The 20,301-nt window shown below is 41.6% G+C and overlaps 1 long non-coding RNA gene across 2 annotated transcripts in view, besides 1 other annotated feature; it reads right to left on the reverse strand.

Moving 5' to 3' along the window:
• Window positions 1–2,080: 2,080 nt before the first annotated feature.
• Window positions 2,081–20,301, reverse strand: part of LOC105377609 (uncharacterized) — a 38,280-nt gene continuing 20,059 nt past the window's right edge. For both annotated transcript variants that reach the window (XR_001741960.2, XR_939621.3), the window contains exon 4: window positions 2,081–8,447. This is a non-coding gene — a long non-coding RNA (uncharacterized LOC105377609). The remainder of the gene's footprint in view (window positions 8,448–20,301) is intronic.
• Window positions 18,045–19,244: an enhancer, noted in NCBI's record as "P300/CBP strongly-dependent group 1 enhancer chr4:189365717-189366916 (GRCh37/hg19 assembly coordinates)". NCBI's record gives its function as "activates an origin of replication core promoter dependent on BRD2, BRD4, P300/CBP, MED14 and CDK7 cofactors, with strong dependence on P300/CBP, by STARR-seq in HCT116 cells {active_cell/tissue: HCT116}" and the evidence as "EXISTENCE:reporter gene assay evidence [ECO:0000049][PMID:35650434]".

Consider the following 20,301-nt stretch of genomic DNA (forward strand, 5'->3'; position numbering starts at 1 on the left):
CCTCCAGTGAAGAGCAGTCAGGCAACCAGAAGGCATACCTAGCAATATAATATTTATTATTTCTTGAGCTTTTATTGTTCGGTGTTCAATAGTCCTGTGAGATAGTTCTCATTATTCTTTATTTATACATGAGAAAACTGTCTCACAGAAGTTGCATAACTTGCTCAGAGTCCCATGGATAATAAGTGGCCCAGGCAGCACTTGAGTCCAGGTCAGTCTTGCTTTTTCCCTTTCTTATTCACTGTCCTACCTTGCCTCTATGTTTGTGTCCCTTCTTAGTCACTTCTCTTGCACTGTTGATTTGCCTTTTTTTAATACATATGTGCTTTATTTACTGCAATTGACAAATAATTGTATCATTTATGGCATTCAACACAGTGTGTGGTTTTTCCTTTTTTTTTTTTTTATTTTGAGACAGAGTCTTGCTCTGTCAATGAGGCTGGAGTGCAGTGGCATGATCTCCGCTCACTGCAGCCTCTGCTTGCTGGGCTTAAGCGATTCTCCTGTCTCAACCTTCCAAGTAGCTGGGGCCATCCAGGCATGCACCACCGTGCCTGAATTATTTATTTATTTGTAGAGCCCTCTTATAGAAGTCTCCCTATATTTCCCAGGCTGGTCTCAAACTCCTGGGCTCAGCAATCCTCCTGCCTTGGCCTCCCAAAAGCCCTGGGATTACAGATGTGAACCGCTGCACCTGGCCTAACATGAGGTTTTGAAATACATATATATTGTGAAATGGATAAATCTAGCTAAACACATACTTATTTTTTTATCTGTGGTGAGACCACTTAAAGCCTACTCTTTCAGCAATTTTAAAGTATATCACCATGGGGTACAATAGATCTCTTAGACCTGTCCCTACTGTCTAGATGGCATTTTGCATCCTTTGACCAACATGCTGATTTATCTTTAACATATTGTATTGCTACCTTGTGGTAGGCAGAACTTTGGTCGTCGTGATCTCAGCCACCTAGCGTTACATCCTGTTATGTTACATGGCAAACAGGCTTTGCAGATGTAATTAATGTTACTCCTCAGTTGACTTTAAGATAGGGAGATTAACCTAGATTATGCAGGTGAGCTGGATCTAATCTCATGAGCTCTTTAAACGTCGGAAGAGGAGGGTAGAAGAGAAAATCAGAGATTATAAGTGAAAAGGTTGGAGATGTCATTACTGGCATTTAAGATAAAGGGGGCCAAAAGCCACAGAATATGGGTGCCTTCAAAAGCTGAGCCAATAGCTGGCAAAATCATGAGAACACTCACTCCTGTAGCAACATGGAGCTGAATTCTGCCAACAATCTAAATGAGCCTGGAAGCAGGTTCTCCCTCAGAGGCTCCAAAGAAGAGCCCAGGCCAGCTGACAGCTTGACTTGCACCTTGTGTGCCCCTATATAGAGAACCCAGTCAAGCCATGCTGTACTCAGACTTCCAACTCATGGAACCTATGAGATAATAAATAGGTGTTGTGTTAATTTATTATGGCAGCAATAGCAGGCTAATACATACTTTAGGAACAATTAATTTCAAATTTTTGTGTGTGAACTCTCCTCATTCACTATCATGACACACAAACACATTCACCCACACACTCTCAGAGATACTCAAGTTGTATACTTCCAGAAGAGGCTTTCTCTGTTTTTAAAGTCTGAAGTTCTCAGCATTCTCACTGAGCCATGCTATCACTTTTGTGTCACTTTGGACAGCCTTCCCTGCTTCTGTCATCCTCAACTTTTTCTTGCATTGTCTGTTTTCCCTTTTCCCTGTTTGCACCTCAGTTCTTTTGTTTTCTGTTAATATTAGGACCTGATTATATACACAGCTAGTCCACAAACACATGTATAGTTTTCTTCACAAAAAATCAAGGAAGGACATTGCATTGTGTGAAGTGTTTGCATCTTTATATTTTTATTTTATACTTACTGCAAAGTGGCATGTGGATACTTTTCTACTGCTGGACACAAAGGTATCTATTAAGATAGAAATATTCCTCATACACGTGCTGTAGGATTCTTGGAACTGAAGAAAATTTGGCCTCTAAAAAACTGTATTATCATAATCATAAGAATTATATTTGATAGAGTTTCTAATATTTTATTAACATCAGGAGATTCGATTGAAGTCAACATTTGCAATTTAAATGTGGTATTAAGCACTTTGTTTAAAGGCAGAATAATTATAATGCATCAATGTGTATGTTTCTACAAATTTGACAACTATAACACATGCCACTTAAAACCTTATTTACCATGCGCAGTCTCATATAAATACAAGCTGTAAGTCTAAGAGCCACCCTAGATTCCATTCTCTTCTTTACCTCCAGTGACTAGTCCGTCCCCAAGGTGAGCTTATTTTTCTTCCTGAATGACCCTAAGGGGTAAAAGTAGATTTGATAGTTGGGGACGATATGATTTGTGGTTATACAGAAAAACTTTTAACTACTGACACTATACAAAGCTCTAACTTGTCCTTTGGAGGAAAATATTTTTCTTACTAACATTTACTGATTAGACATTTAGTGGGAATATCAGGCAACGTGCTGGTTTCAAATGGTTGGTTGCAGGTCCCTTTCAAAAATGGGCATTTCCAATTCTGCGTCAACATCATTGTTTACACAGCTGCAGAGAGCACATTCTTCCAGGAGCACCTTCAGGGCTTTCCGGGAAGCTTCTGGGCTTCGTTTGTTTGGAATCCTAAAGCAAGCAGCCTTTCCTGAAAAGAATGTCCTCAGGAAATACTTTGGAATAAATTAAATGATATTTTTAGGCATTTTTATCGATCTGTTGTTTAGAGACGATTTTGAATCTGTTGACTTATTTTGTGATAAACAGAACTTTTACAGCATCTCAATGGAATCTGATTTCTAGATTGACTTGCCACCTTGAAATGATAATTACATTGTTTTTGAGAAGTAACATCTTTGTTTCCATAACATAAGACTTTCAGTTTATAACACAATGTACAATTGGGGCTTACTTTTTTAAAAGCACTGATTTATTTGAAACCTGTCTAAATTTGGCTAGGTTTCATAATTGGAGCAATCATCAATATAGTATGAATGACCTTATACAATATAATTTTATTAAATAAAATATTTTTATTAAAACTAAATGAAGTCATAAAAATTTGATTTTTTTTCTAAAGAAAAAGTGTATTGAAATCCATGGACCTAAAATGTGGCTTATTATTAAAAAAATCCTATTTAAATATACTTTTGAAATAGATACATGTTTCTAGCATATTTTATTCACCCTGTACTTACTCTCTTATGAGAATTACTCCACAGAAAGTCATCTTGTTTTATGAAAATAACTAAGAAAGTCATTGTTTTTCTTCCTGACAACATTTAAATGTTGGAAGCCACATCTTTATTAAGTTACATTCAGCTGATTGCATTTATGAAATTAATCTATGAGGTCAAAAAAGAATGAAATTAGTATTCAAAAGATATCACTAATAAAAATCATTGATCAATTTAAAGAAGTTATTAACATATAACAATGTTAAGTAGTTCATTATACTTTAAATATTTCCAGTCTATTATTAGTTAAAAAGTAAATCTGCTAGTATTTCCCCCCCAAATTCATTATTTCACCGAATTCCTCTCATCTGAACATAGCTTAGCTGTATTAAGATGTTGCGTAAGACGGCTCTCAGAAGCTACTTAATTTATTCTAATTAACAAATGTCTGCATTCTTAATGTGTTAATTATTAGGGCTCCCCAATCTCTTATTCGATTTTTTCATTCAACAAGTATTTATTGAATGCTTATTATGTCAAACCCTCTTCTAAATATTGGAATAATAGTAATAAAACAAATCGAAGTTTATACTCTCAATAAGTTTATGTTGTAATGAAGGATGCAAACAGTATATACACACTGCAATGTCAGCTAGTGATAACTTTTGAGAGAATAGTGAAATAACATACATACAGGGATAGAAAGTGATGGGAAAGCCTTGTCTCCACCGTCCTTCTTTCCCTCTCAGAGCTCCAGCCAAGTACTTTCTCCAGCAGTCGTGTTAAACACACTCCCTTCTATTATTAGGCATGTCCTGACCCCTCTATCTGAAACACTTGCCCTTTGCCTAGCTAACTGCTATTCTTCAGTCACAGTCAAATACTGCTCCACAGGCAAGCCTTCCCCACTCCCAGCCATGCTCCCAGAGCATCATGAAACTTCCATGAAATTTGACATTGTTTGTATGATGATTTGTTCACTCTATTCTCCTCACTAGAGCATGGGATTATATATATGTAATATTACTATATATATGGCATAGAGTGAATGTTCAATAGAATTAGTTGAACGCATTATTTTAAGTATAATATATCAAGAAGACAGGTTTCAAAGACCACATATTTTAACCATTCTGTTCATACGGGATGTTTAGAAAAGGCAAATCTATGGAAAAAGAAGGTAGATTAGTGTTTATGTTACCGAAACACCAGGGGTTCGGTCAAGGTCCTGCTACTCGCTGCACAGAAAGCCAATGATTGAGACGACGAGTATTGCCAAGGAAGAATCTTTAATCAGGTGCTGCAGCTGAGGAGATGGAAACTCACTCTCAAATCCACCTCCCTGACCTGCTAAAACCAGGAGTTTATATAACAGGGAAAAAAAATGCAACTGTGTGTAAGAAAACAGGAACTAGGGAGACGCAAGGAAGCCATCACGGTGAATGAGGGGTCTGGCATCTCATTGTCTGGATGTGATGATCTGGTGAGTTTCAGTTGTTTGATACTTTTTTTTGAGAGACCTGATGGTCATTTTCTGAGGGAGGAACTCAGATTAAACAAATATAAGTTTCAAGCTTTAAGATTAGAAGGGTCAATTCCTATATTTATCAGAAAATATCTATGAGACCACTGGGTCAGTTTCATTTACCCAGGGCTGAGAGAGGGAATGGGGATTCACTGCTGACTGGCCTGAGGGAACTTACTGGAAAGATGGAAATGTTCTAAAACTGGATTATGGTGATGGTTGCAGACTAAGCAAGTTTACTAAAATCACTGAATCATACTAAAATCATTGAATTGAAAATTAGATGAATTTTATGATATGTAAATTATATCTCAATAAAGGTCTTTTTATTTTTTATTTTTCTTTTTGAGACAGTGTCTTGCTCTGTTGCCCAGGCTGGAGTGCAGTGGCATGATCTCGGCCCACTGCAACCTCTGCCTCCCTGGTTCAAGCAATTCTCCTGCCTCCGCCTCCCAAGTAGCTGGTACTACAGGTGTGCGTTACTGCGCTTGGCTAATTTTTGTATTTTTAGTAGAGATGGGATTTTACCATGTTGGCCAAGCTGGTCTTGATCTCCTGTCCTCAAGTGATCTGCCCGCCACAGCCTCCCAAAGTGCTGAGATTACAGGCGAGAGCCACCACGCCCAGCCTCAATAAAGTTCTTTTTTTTTAAAAAAAGGTAGTGACTAGGGGAAGTGTAAGGATGTGGGAGTGGCCAGGGAAGGTCTTTTTAAGGAGATGCTATTTGAATAGAAAATTGACATGAAGGCAAGAGCCCCAAAGATGTCTCGGGACAGAGGGCTCCTGGCAGGGGAGCAGTGGGGATCTTAGGTGCATTGCTATGTTGGAAGAACAGTGGGGAGTCCAGGTGGCTGTGGCGAGGTGGAATGGGGGCCACAGGAGGAAGCGGAGGCTAGGGAGGAGCCAGTTAGGTATGTGAGGTTTGGTTAATTAGGGTCAGGGTATTGAATTTTATTTTAAATGTGATGAGATGCTATTGAAGGATTTTAGCAGGAGAGCAACATAATTTGGTTTACATTTTGACAGAGTCACTTTGGCTGCTGTACGGAAAAACAGAAGCAGGAAGCCCAGATAAGAAATTGAGTAGCCAGTCACGAAATGGTGGTGTTATGGATCAGGGTGGAACGGTGGAGGCGGTGAAAAGTATGTATCTTATAGATAGAAATATGTGAGAATATCACAGCCTATTCTAAAAACTGCTGAATCATTGAGTGCATATAGTTGGAGAAGTGGGTGGAGCAGAACAGCATAAGAAGAGAGTAAAGAAGTGTGCAGGGTCAGATTACATGAGGCCTTATAGGGCGTGGGACAGAGTTTCACTTCATCTTAAATGCAGTGAGAAGTCATTGGAGGATTTCAGGTGCGGAATGATACAGTCGGACTCACTCACATGAAGATTATTCTGTCTGCCAGGTGGAGAAGAGCTCATAGGGGAAGAAGCATAGAAACCCAAGAGCAAGTTAAGACACTAATGGCAGAGGTTAGGCAAGAGGTGGTGGTGGTGTAGATTGGGACGGTGGCAATGCAGATAGAAAAATAAGCGTATACAAGGGCTCCTTTAGAATTGGAACAGATGGGATAACTGGATATGAGGAAGAGGAAACTAAAGAGTGAAGCATTTTTGGTTTGGGTAACTGAGTTACGCAGTTTTTTTTTTTGAGATGGAGTCTCACTCTGTCACCCAGGCTGGAGTGCAACAGCACAATCTCAGCTCACTGCAACCTCCACCTCCCAGGTTCAAGCGATTCTCCTGCCTCAGCCTCCCGAGTAGCTGGGACTACAGGCGTGCACCACCACACACAGATAATTTTTGTGTTTTTAGTAGAGACCAGGTTTCACCATGTTGGCCAGGATGGTCTCGATCTCTTGACTTCGTGATCCACCCGCCCTGGCCTCCCAACGTGCCAGGATTATGGGCCCGAGCCACCACACCCAGCCCAGTTACAGTAGTTTACTCCAGAATAATACTACATGTATAAACATAGGTTACACACATACTTAAAAGAACATTAGAGTTCTTTTTTGTTTTTCTTTGATGTTTGGCTTTGATTTAATGGGATTTTACTATACACATTACTCTTAAGCAAGCCTTTAACACTCAGCACTTTAAAGTGCTTGGTACATAGTAGGCTTAAGTAATATTTTATCAAACTGAGCTGGAGAGTTCTTAGATATTGTTCTTATCTCAAATTCAGTCATCCCTTGGTATCTGCTAGGGATTGCTTCCAGGAACCCCATGAATTTTTTTACCAAAATCCACAGATGCTCAAGTCCCTTATACAAAACGGTGTCTTGTTTGCATGTCACTGACACACATACTCCGTGTACTTAAACCATCTCTAGACTGCCTATAATACCTAACGTGATGTAAATGCTATGGAAACAGTTGTTTTACTGTATCGTTTGGGGAATAACATCAAGTCTGTACATTTTTCAGTAGAGATGCAATGATCATAGGCCTAACTGCCTTTTCAATCTGCACGTGGTTGAACCCATGGATGCAGAGCCCGTGGGTGCTGATTGCTAACTGTATATCCTACTTCTAATCCTTCTTTTGTATGGAGTGAGCTTCCAAAAACCTTCTGAAACATTAAGTCATGCTCTTCTTTGAAGTCTGTGAATCCTCAGGGCTGTCGGCGTGAGAACCAAAGGCTGCAGTGGTGCACACAATGTCCTTCATCCCAGTAGGTTGATTGTTCAGCATCTGTGTGACCCAACCTCTCCTATTGTCCTTGATTCAATAGCTGATCTACTGAACTATGTAGCTGAATTACAGCTCCTCAAGCACAGTGCTGTCTTGGCTTGGAATGCCCTACTGCTTCTGTTATTATTATGATGACACATTGGTGATTTTTTTCCTATGAGAATCTTCTCTAATTTCCCAAGTGTAAGTTAGCTATCCTCCTGTGTGTGCCCTGAACCCTGTACATCCCCATCATCACAGTAGTTCATTGCCTTGTAATTGCTTGCTTGCTTTTATGTTTCTCCCATTGGACAATATATTCCTTAAAGCCAGAGATTTTTCCCTGTGATATTATCCTCAGAACTTAATATAGTATATGTTGTCATACTAAAAGCTTGATCAATACAACATACATAAGTAAAGGAACATTATTCTTCTACATTAGAGAATACAGTTCCTAGGGAAAGTATGTATTTAGACCACACGACTGAAGCAACAGGTCTGGGGAACACCCATACTCAAGGAATGGGGAGGAACAAAAGGCATTAGAAAAAAAAGAAATGGGATAGCCGTGAAAGCGCAAGAACAATGTTCAGAGTGTTTATCACGGCCGTCTGGAAAAAACAGAATTTCAAGAAATGAATGATCAGTCATGTCAAATGCTTATAAAAGTCAGGAATAATGGCTGTGAAATGTCCAATCAACTTGGCAATTAAAAATACACTGATGACTTTATGAAGCAGTTTCAGTATGTTGGTTGAGACAGAAGCCAGATGATGGGGTGCTGCATAATAAATGGCACATCGCAGGCTGATGACAGCACAGCCCTGCTTTAATACGGCAGGAAACACGATGGGTTCTGTGGCATCCTCCTACTCACTGTCTTCTGTGGATTGTGACTCCTGGTGACTGACAGATGTTTAATTTCCTGAGGGCAAGCAAAGTCACGGCTTTAATATGCCCGAGAATAATGATGGATGATGCAACTTTGGATAAGCCTGTAGAAGAGACAAGAGAAAGGAAGAGGTGTAGAAAAGCTCTGAAGGGGTCTGGGCGCAGTGGCTCATGCATGTAATCCTAGCACTTTGGGAGGTCGAGGCGGGCAGATAGTGAGGTCAGGAGTTCGAGACCAGACTGACCAACATGGTGAAACCCCATCTCTACTAAAAATACAAAAATTAGCTGGGCGTGGTGGCGGGCACCTGCAATCCCAGCTACTCGGGAGGCTGAGGCAGGAGAATCACTTGAACCCGGGAGGCAGAAGTTGCCGTGAGCTGAGATGGTGCCACTGCACTCCAGCCTGGGTGATAGAGCGAGACTCTGTCAAAAAAAAAAAAAAAAAAAAAAAAAAGAAAGAAAGAAAGAAAAAGAAAAGAAAAGAAAAGAAAACAGAAAAGCTCTGAAGGGAGAATTCTTGAGTGTGTGATGTTTGAAATACTAGACTAAAGGGCAGTTCAGTGGGACAGTGGGTGGAATTTGCAGTGGATACCAGAACAGAGTTTGGGAAGAGAGATTTGGCCAAGAGACTACACCCTGCAGATCTCCACTGACAGAGGAGTTAGTGACCAAGAGCCTGGCCACTGAGCTAAAATCCATCGTGCACTTGTGCTGTAACCACATTCCCATGGGCTGCTCTCCAGCCAATGACTGAATTGGAAGCAGGGATGCCTGTCCTGGGAGCCATGAGCTCCTCTGATGCCTGAGGTTGACTCGTGGACTTCCAGTAGCTTTGCTGAACCTTCCATAGACTGGAAAGCAGCCTAAGATGTTTTCTCGCAGACCCCTCTGGCTCCTTCACCGTTTTCCTTTTGCAGTAGTTTTCTTAATAACATCCTTGCATGTGTAATCCTGTGCTTATATCAGCTTCTCAGAGGGTCCAGACCGATATAATATCTAAAGGGTAGTTTTATTTTTGAAGGGAGGTGAATTGCTGTGTTATTAGTGTTGTACCCTTCTATCATTCGCTATCATTCATGTTTCTTTAAGATATATTCGGTAAAATACCCATTTCTCACTAATGCTGGTTAGAGTAGGTCTTTTTTTTTTTTTTTGAGACGTAATCTCCCTCTGTTGTCCAGGCTGGAGTGCAGTGGCGCCATCTCGGCTCACTGCAACTTCCGCCTCCTGGGTTCAAGTGATTCTCCTGCCTCGGCCTCCTAAGTAGCTGGGATTACAGGTGCCCGCCGCCATGCCCGGCTAATTTCTTTTGTATTTTTAGCAGAGCGGGGTTTCATCATGTTGGCCAGGCTGGTTTTGAACTCCTGGCCTCAAGTAATCCGCCTGCCATGGCCTCCCAAAATGCTAGGATTATAGGCGTGAGCCACTATGCCGGGCCAGGTCTTCTTTCTTGAGGGGAGGGACAAAGTGAAATAATGAGAACTGCTCTGCAATGTCTTCTTCAGAAGAGAAGCTGCCCATAGAACAGAGTCCCATGTAGATGATACAGTGATATTAAATAGAACGTTCCCCACAGAAGTTTAACGCGATTAGTATCAAGGTGACGCTTATAAATGCTAATGCAAGAATGCCATTCAGGAGTCTTGCTTTATACCTAAAAAAGCGATGTGTTCCTGATTGTGGAATATCTTTACAGGTAGAAGGCAGGTAATAGTTATATAGAAATAAAACAAAAATAACAATGTATAGGATACAGCCTCAAAGATTCCCAGAATATTAGAGCTACAAGGCACGTTAGAGACCATCTCCTAATTTTAAATGCTCTTTTGAATATTCTAGTGAGAGAAGCTGCAGCCTGTTGAGACTCCACAAGACTGAAGATATGAAAAGAGGAAATATGCATGAATGCCCGCACGGAGAACCACCCCCACCTGCTGCTCCCGCTCTAATGATCACGCCCATTATCAACTGGGGGATGGCTCTGTGCCTTGTCCTTGCATTACATGGACCAAGAACACTTCACAGGACTCAGAGAGGTAAATGAGAGAAACCTATTCTTATAGAGGATGAAAATGAAGCACACAGGGAGGTAAAGTGCCCCAAAATCCCATCTGAACTGGCTTTAGAAACCGTATATTTACTTTTTCATATAATTTGTTTATCTAAGGGAAAAAAATAACAGATGTGTTTAATGGCTTTAGAAACATTTAAACAGGTGGACCTCAAAATATGTGAAATGAACATATTGCCATTGTTTATTATAATTTTCCTTCCTTCTATTTTTGCTTAAAATTCCTCAAGGCCTTTGGATATGCAAAAAAAAATGAGCATTTGTTTTATTATGTTGCTTAATAGAAACAATTTTTTAAAGTATTGATTTACGCAGTGACCAAAATACTGATTCTAAACAACAAAACATGCAGCTGTTACGAATCCTGGACGAGCTCTGGAAATGTGTGGTATTGTCTTGCAAAGAAGCTGTTTTTGTTCTAGTCAAATATGGAAACTAGTTTAGAAACTTCATTTTAATATATAATTCTGATTTCAGTGTTACCAGTAAATATTAATGTCCTTTTCTAACAGTCTTAATTTCCTTTTCTCAACTCCCTTGAGTTATATATTTTATTGAAGCATTCATTTACCATCAAGAGAAAAGAATGACATAAGCATGTGTGCTGAAACGTGCGGCTTCCAGGCCACAGAGTTAAGGAAGCTACATTTGTTCTCCCAGCCCCTTACTTGTGCTATGCATTTAGAAAGAAAACTTTCGACGTCTATTGTTCTTACTTTTACAATTTATGATGTAGTTAATCCTATTCACCTTGTGTACTGAGGTAGGTCAGAATTTCTTCTCACCCTTTTCCTCTTCTAACATGACCTGTTCTTTCGCATCATGAGTCATAGAAATGTAAGCTAATACATAAAGTTTTTGAAAAGATGAGGAAAGAGCCAGAGAAATAATAATGCCCTGAGGTTGTGCTATAAGGTATGTTCCACATTGGCAAGAAGTCCCTTGCTTGGTAGATGTGTTCCTGTAAGCCCTAAAAGAAAGGGCAGGTGGCTGTCATACTCCCCTTATCCTCCGGACACAATCACCTGAGACCATTCACTAGGCCTTCCAAGGGGAAGCCCAGGTGAAACTGAAGGACAACCCTTCTGAGATGGACAGAAAAAGAAAAACGTGAAATCTTATGGTAAGGGTAAAAGGCCAAAGAGACTTAGGAACTGTAAGGTAGGGAGGAAAGAATGTGGGAGCCCAGAGAGACGGGTCCTCTGTGGCCGTAACAGTAGACTTTCAGTGGAGCGAGAGAGAACATGAGGAAACTCAGGATATTCTGCACCATGGTTTGGACTCTAAAAATGTATTTGATCATATGATGGGTTTATAGTTTTTATTCTTGGCCTCGGTCTCTGTTTTTTTTTCTTCTTATATGTTGTAGTGTTGGGATTCACTCAGATGGTGGCAGAAATATTAAAGGGAAATACTAGGGAAAGTTATAGGGAATAGTCACAAACCTTTTGGAAGGCTGAAAGTTTACATAGCTTGTAATAATTGAACAGGCTGAGGCAGCCGGTTCTTACCTTAGAGCATTAGGTCTTAGGGTAAATACTAGGGACAACAGAGGCTTCCCCACTTAAGTCTGTTTACCCTACCTCCAATAACTAACCTTTGAGCCAGATGGCCCACTTGTGGGGAGGTTGACTAGGGATATTGTCCCCTAATGGTATTTACCTTAGACCTTGGTACCTGAGCTTTAATCATTCCTAGAACTACTCTCTTAACCATGTTAATTATCCACAAGTGTGTTGACTCAGAGCTTCTGTTGTTAATTGTATACCAAATAAATGCCTGGAGTGCGAGCTGCTCAGGGCCAGCCACAGTGACAAACCACTCTTGGTGTGCAGGCGGTCGGACACTCAGCAGGACTGGCAAAGCAGAATATCTGTGTCAGTGTACGTTTTATTCGCCTGTCGTTTGGGTCAGGGTCCATGGGCAGACCCCCGCAGCTAATGCCCTCAAGGGTGAGGAGCAATACCTCATTATAGACTTAGTTGTGAAAAGTTTTTTTAAAATTAATGAGACAGTAATCAGGTATTTTAAACAACTGAATTTTACAAACCCTCATAACATTGAGTGGGAAAAAAATTTAGATCTCAGTCAACTCCTTGATCTTACACATAAAGAAACTGATGCTCAAAATATGAAAAGATTTTCCCAAGTTAATATTACACATGATCAGTGGATATGATACTAGAGCCAGTCTTTGATCTCCAATTCCAGTTTTCTTACTATAATAAGGTGGATTTCTTGTGAGGGAACCAACCGGATAAAGTAAAAAACCTACAGTTTCTATGAGGATCCACATACTTTCCTGACAATGGAGTAAGAGAAAATGTGGCAAGTGACCATTGGGCCCTCCAGGTGTCTTAGAGTGGTTGACATAGTTCCTGAACAAGAGTGGAAATCCAGCCTGGCACGGTGGCTCACGCCTGTAATCCCAGCACTTTGGGAGGCTGAGGCGGGCGGATCACGAGGTCAGGAGATTGAGACCATCCTGGCTAACACGGTGAAACACCATCTCTACTGAAAATACAAAAAATTAGCCGGGCCTGGTGGCGGGCACCTGTAATCCCAGTTACACTCGGGAGGCTGAGGCAGGAGAATTGCTTGAACCCGGGAGGCAGAGCTTGCAATGAGCCGAGATAGTGCCACTGCACTCCAGCCTGGGCGACAGAGTGACTCTGTCTCAAAAAAAAAAGAGTGGAAATCTAGGTGGATTCAGGGATAGGGAATGGTAGCAAAAAGAGAGAGAGAGGAGAGAGAGGGAAGAGTAAGGAGCACAGAAATAGAAAGAGCATCTGGTAGTGAGATGAGCTGGAATCTGGGGAGAGGGACCTGTGTCCAGGCAGGCTTCTTACAGAGCTGTCTACTTACAGAGCTCCACACCCACAGCGCCAGGTCAGTGATTTGTCTGTCGGTGCGCACCCCCATTCTGTGCTCTTTTCTGTATCACAGGGGACTGGATATCTGCAAGCTACATTTTCCACACTGCCTTCTGACTGGTATTTAATAAGATTTTGATAATGGGAGGCACTGGCAAGAAATGGGAAGGTGGGAGAAAGAGCAAATCCATATTTTTAGTCATTGTTTTTCCTGGTGGTGCCCTTGGCAGCAGTAACCACAGTGACAAGTGGATGCAAGCCCGGGTTCCCTCTAAGGTGGCACAGTTCCAATGGCAGCAGCAGCAGCAGCTGCTCTGACAGCTTTGTAACCACCAGTACTCCTGGGCCCTGGCTCTTGCTGTATCAGGAGTGTGAGCTCCTGGCTTCCTGTGCAGTGGCAGTGGCAGTGCTCACTGCATCCGGCAGTGGCTAAAGAAGGACTCCAGCCTCCTCAGCCCACAGCTGCGTGGACTTGGGGCTACACCATTGCTCTTTGGGGTTGTTTTTGGCTCATGGGGTGGTTGTGGCATCCTGAAGTTACGAACAGCAGTTACGAACAGCAGTTCCTCAGGTACCAGTCTTTGGGGAGCCTCATCCCCTTGTTGTTCCTGCCTGGCTTTTTGTGACGTTTAAAACCAATGTTCAAATCCAATGTGTTTGGAATGCTTAGAATTGGTTTTGTTTTCCTAACTGGACACGAGAGACACAAGCACTACGCGATCCTTCTACGTCATGCTCTTAAAAAATATGGCAAAGTTTTACATTATTCATCCATTTCTGCTGTTCCCGTGAAACTGACAATATACAAAGACCAGCGTGTGTGGGGCCCTGGAATATGTCAGTTTATATTTCTATTGTGTCAGTTTTCTTAGGGTATATGGCGAATATAAATATGACTATTATAATTAAGTGGCTGTGCATTTTCATATTAGAATTCATTATGTTGCCTTCTCAGTAGAAGCACTTTCTATGTAGTGCTTGAGCATATAGGTAAGTCAGGTGGCCACCTGCACAGTGTGATTTGAAGGTGTGAAGGTATCTCTCTGCCTCAAATAGCGATTAAATTTAACAGGTTCATATTCTGTAGTGAAAAAAATACAGTTGGCCCTCCATATCCACGGGTTCTGCATCCATGGATTCAACCAACCAAGGATAAAAATATTTTTTAAAAATTGCATCTGCAAGTTAATTATAATATAATGCTCAAGAAAATTCACAACATGAATGAAATGTTACAGAAGTTATAAATCCATTGCATTTATCAGTAGCTCATTTTTGAAAAGGGTCTTTGGATTATAGATTTCCACTTCTTTTACAAAGAAACATTGAAGTGAGAATTTTGTGGGTACTCTTTAAACAATAGTACATGAGTTTAATACATATTTTTTAAAGCCAGTAAATAACATTTTTCTGTGTCCACTTTAAAGTGTGTTGGGTATATAAGTGAATTGGACTGTATTTCTAATATGTGTGTAGGTTTAATTTTATATAGTTTTTAAATTGTTCTGTGATTAATCGGCCATTGAAAATGACCTTTTTAATTGTTGAGATTTACTGACTAGCCTTATATGGAAGGATTTGTATATCCTCACCATATATATATATGTATATATATATAAATATAAATATAAATATATATGGTGTATCTATATGGTGCATATATATAGCGTGTGTGTATATATGTATTTGGTATATCTATGGTGCATATATTTGGTATATATATGGTGTGTGTATATACACATATACATACCATATATACACACACATATATATACCATCTTTTATTTGTGTGGTGAAAAATACTCTTTTTTGGTGTAAAAAGTTTATTTTCTTTGCTAATAATGTCAGTTTGTAAAAAAAAGAATTCATCCTTACTGAATATCTATAGACCTTTTTGGTCAGTATTCCCTAAACAACGCAGTATAAGAACTATTTACGTAGCATTCACATTGTATTAGGTATTATAAGTAATTTAAGGATGATTTAAAATATACAAGGGGATGTGCATAGGTTATATGCAAATACTATGCCATTTTATATCAGGGTCTTGAGCATCCACGGATTTTGATATTAGCAGGAGGTCCTGGAACCAATTCCACATGGATACAGAGGGACGTCTCTCTCTCTCTTTGATATTGTTATATTATATCATATTATTTATATTATATATTTATATATTGGTAATATTTATATATTAGTTTAAAGGATTGTTATAAAAGTGGATTTTAAACCACAACAGCAACCAAAATGATTATGTGATGTTACAGAGGAATATGGTTGCCATCTTTTTTTTTTTTTTTTTTTTTGAGACAGAGACTCGCTCTGTCGCCCAGGCTGGAGTGCGGTGGCACAGTCTCGGCTCACTGCAAGCCCCGCCTCCCAGGTTCACGCCATTCTCCTGCCTCAGCCTCCCGAGTAGCTAGGACTACAGGCGCCCGCCACCACGCCGGCTAATTTTTTATATTTTTAGTAGAGATGGGGTTTTACCGTGTTAGCCAGGATGGTCTCGATCTCCTGACCTCGTGATCCGCCCACCTTGGCATCCCAAAGTGCTGGGATTACAGGCGTGAGCCACCCCGCCCGGCCTATGGTTGCTATCTTTAATAAATATTATGGACATAAGAGAGAGAGAGAGAATGCTGCTAGGTCACTTAAAAATGGAGATGTGATTTATGGGAATGTTCTTGTCTACATGTAATGCAACACGTGGAATCTTTATAATAGGTGTCAAGAAATTTCCCATTCAGGAGAATTCTGTAGGTGAAGGTTCAGAGGGAGCCATGGCTAGATGCTGGGCAGGGGAGGGTTAGATGCAGCCTCACTGGAGGGGTCGTTTTCTGGAAGTGATATCTAACATCCCTCCATTATCTGGAAGTGATATCTAAAATCCCCACCATTATCTGAAAGTGATATCTAACATCCACCCATTATCTGGAAGTGAATATCTAACTTTCCCCCATTATCTGGAAGTGATAGCTAACATCCCCCCATTATCTGGAAGTGAATATCTAACTTCCCCCCATTATCTGGAAGTGATAGCTAACATCCCCCCATTATCTGGAAGTGATATCTAACATCCCCCCATTATCTGGAAGTGATAGCTAACATCCCCCCATTATCCAGAAGTGAATATCTAACATCCCCCCATTATCTGGAAGTGTTATCTAACATCACCCCATTATCTGGAAGTGATGGCTAACATCTGCCCATTATCTGGAAGTGATATCTAACATCCCCCCATTATCCGGAAGTGATATCTAACATCCCCCATTATCTGGAAGTGTTATCTGACATCCCCCATTATCCGGAAGTGAATATCTAACATCTCCCCATTATCTGGAAGTGTTATCTAACATCCCCCCCATTATCTGGAGTGATATCTAACATCCCCCCATTATCTGGAAGTGATATCTAACATCCCCCCATTATCTGGAAGTGATAGCTAACATCCCCCCATTATCTGGAAGTGATAGCTAACATCCCATTATCTGGAAGTGAATATCTAACATCCCCCATTATCTGGAAGTGTTATCTAACGTCACCCCATTATCTGGAAGTGATATCTAACATCCACCCATTATCTGGAAGTGATATCTAACATCCCCCCCATTATCTGGAAGTGATAGCTAACATCCCCCTATTATCTGGAACTGATAGCTAACATCCCCCCATTATCTGGAAGTGATATCTAATTTCCACCATTAGTGACACTCCTCCATGTTTCAAGGTATGTATTTCAAGAAAGCCCTTGTTAGAATAACAGGAATTTATTGGGGAGAATAGCACAATGTCTTCTTTTTTTTGAGACAGAGTTTCGCTCTGTCGCCCAGGCTCCGGTGCAATGGCGTGATCTTGGCTCACTGCAACCTCTGCCTCCCGGGTTCAAGCGATTCTCCTGCCTCAGCCTCCTGAGTAGCTGGGACTACAGGCATGTGTCACCAACCCTGGCTAATTTTGTATTTTTAGTAGAGACGGGGGTTCTCCATGTTGGTCAGGCTGGTCTCGAACTCCCAATCTCAGGTGATCCGCCTGCCTCGGCCACCCAAAGTGCTGGGATTACAGGCGTGAGCCACCGCGCCCGGCCACAATGTCTTTATCAATCTACACGTAAGGAATTTTCTGGTAAAATAGTGCTGGGCAGATTGCAAGTGGGAGCAGTGACATTGGGTTTGAACAACAAACTTAAAAGAAAAGAAACAAAGAAAAGAACACATAATCTGTAGGCTGGGTTTCTGTCTGTCTGGTTTTGGGATGCAAAGAGAAGAAAAAATGAGGTAGTAGGCATTTAGTTATTTTCTAGCCTAAGATTAAAGTGCTTTTTGCTCCTGCCTAACTTTAGGAAAGTGAGGAAACAACATTCACAGACAAAGGACAATTGAGCATGAGCTCCAGGGGACCATCAGCAAAACATTTTCAGAAGATGTGAAGAGTAGGATGCGTAAGTCATGGAGCAGATCAGAGGCCTGTGGATAAGGTACCAAGGACAAGGAAGACTCTGTCGGTTGATGATCTTGAGCAGTGCTGCTAGGTCACTTCAAAATGGAGACGTGATTTATGGGCATGTTATTGTCTACATGTAATCAACACATGGAATCTTTATAATACGTATCTATATTTCTATGAATTAAAGTTTTCCTATGGCCTATAGTTAAGTGTTCTTGCGAGGTGTGTGAGCAGGTGCACCTATGCTGTACATGGGGGAGGATGCTAGATAAAGAATATTATCTACTCTGTCTTACAGATCATTCCCAGACGGGGTGGTAGAAACATACCATACGAATGTAAGGAGGTTCCTAAAAATGTTCACTTGGGCCATAAGCACCATACAATTGAGCAAGGTTGCACATTTATGAAGCTCTACAAAGCACAGGTTGGTTTAGCATTATCTGCTGAGCCATTGGGCAATACCCCGTGAGGGGCACAGAGAGATGGGACAAGGCGCACAGAGGGCATCTGGGGAGTCAGGAAACAGCATGAGGACAGGGGGCCCCTGGGAATAGAAGGAGACTTGTTCAAGGGAAGAAACTGAAAAACAAAACACAAGGGAGATGATAGGGAAAATCAGGGTCTCTGTGTAGTTATCTGTGTGACTCAGCATGGGGAGACGATAGGGAAAATCAGGGTCTCTGTGTAGTTATCTGTGTGACTCAGCATGGGGAGACGATAGGGAAAATCAGGGTCTCTGTGTAGTTATCTGTGTGACTCAGCATGGGGAGACGATAGGGAAAATCAGGGTCTCTGTGTAGTTAATCTCTGTGACTCAGCATGGGGAGACGATAGGGAAAATCAGGGTCTCTGTGTAGTTATCTGTGTGACTCAGCATGGGGAGACGATAGGGAAAATCAGGGTCTCTGTGTAGTTAATCTCTGTGACTCAGCATGGGGAGACGATAGGGAAAATCAGGGTCTCTGTGTAGTTAATCTCTGTGACTCAGCATGGGGAGACGATAGGGAAAATCAGGGTCTCTGTGTAGTTAATCTGTGTGACTCAGCATGGGGAGACGATAGGGAAAATCAGGGTCTCTGTGTAGTTATCTGTGTGACTCAGCATGGGGAGACGATAGGGAAAATCAGGGTCTCTGTGTAGTTATCTGTGTGACTCAGCATGGGGAGACGATAGGGAAAATCAGGGTCTCTGTGTAGTTATCTGTGTGACTCAGCATGGGGAGACGATAGGGAAAATCAGGGTCTCTGTGTAGTTATCTGTGTGACTCAGTATGGGGAGACGATAGGGAAAATCAGGGTCTCTGTGTAGTTATCTGTGTGACTCAGCATGGGGAGACGATAGGGAAAATCAGGGTCTCTGTGTAGTTAATCTGTGTGACTCAGCATGGGGAGACCATAGGGAAAATCAGGGTCTCTGTGTAGTTAATCTCTGTGACTCAGCATGGGGAGATGATAGGGAAAATCAGGGTCTCTGTGTAGTTATCTGTGTGACTCACCATGGGGAGACGATAGGGAAAATCAGGGTCTCTGTGTAGTTATCTGTGTGACTCAACATGGGGAGATGATAGGGAAAATCGGGGTCTCTGTGTAGTTAATCTGTGTGACTCAGCATGGGGAGACGATAGGGAAAATCAGGGTCTCTGTGTAGTTAATCTCTGTGACTCAGCATGGGGAGACGATAGGGAAAATCAGGGTCTCTGTGTAGTTATCTGTGTGACTCAGCATGGGGAGACGATAGGGAAAATCAGGGTCTCTGTGTAGTTATCTGTGTGACTCAGCATGGGGAGACGATAGGGAAAATCAGGGTCTCTGTGTAGTTATCTGTGTGACTCAGCATGGGGAGACGATAGGGAAAATCAGGGTCTCTGTGTAGTTATCTGTGTGACTCAGCATGGGGAGACGATAGGGAAAATCAGGGTCTCTGTGTAGTTATCTGTGTGACTCAGCATGGGGAGACGATAGGGAAAATCAGGGTCTCTGTGTAGTTATCTGTGTGACTCAGCATGGGGAGACGATAGGGAAAATCAGGGTCTCTGTGCAGTTATCTGTGTGACTCAGCATGGGGAGACGATAGGGAAAATCAGGGTCTCTGTGTAGTTATCTGTGTGACTCAGCATGGGGAGACGATAGGGAAAATCAGGGTCTCTGTGTAGTTATCTGTGTGACTCAGCATGGGGAGACGATAGGGAAAATCAGGGTCTCTGTGTAGTTATCTGTGTGACTCAGCATGGGGAGACGATAGGGAAAATCAGGGTCTCTGTGTAGTTATCTGTGTGACTCAGCATGGGGAGACGATAGGGAAAATCAGGGTCTCTGTGTAGTTATCTGTGTGACTCAGCATGGGGAGACGATAGGGAAAATCAGGGTCTCTGTGTAGTTAATCTCTGTGACTCAGCATGGGGAGACGATAGGGAAAATCAGGGTCTCTGTGTAGTTAATCTGTGTGACTCAGCATGGGGAGACGATAGGGAAAATCAGGGTCTCTGTGTAGTTAATCTCTGTGACTCAGCATGGGGAGACGATAGGGAAAATCAGGGTCTCTGTGTAGTTATCTGTGTGACTCAGC

Source organism: Homo sapiens, chromosome 4 (genome assembly GCF_000001405.40).
Source record: "Homo sapiens chromosome 4, GRCh38.p14 Primary Assembly".
Classification (NCBI taxonomy): domain Eukaryota; kingdom Metazoa; phylum Chordata; class Mammalia; order Primates; family Hominidae; genus Homo; species Homo sapiens.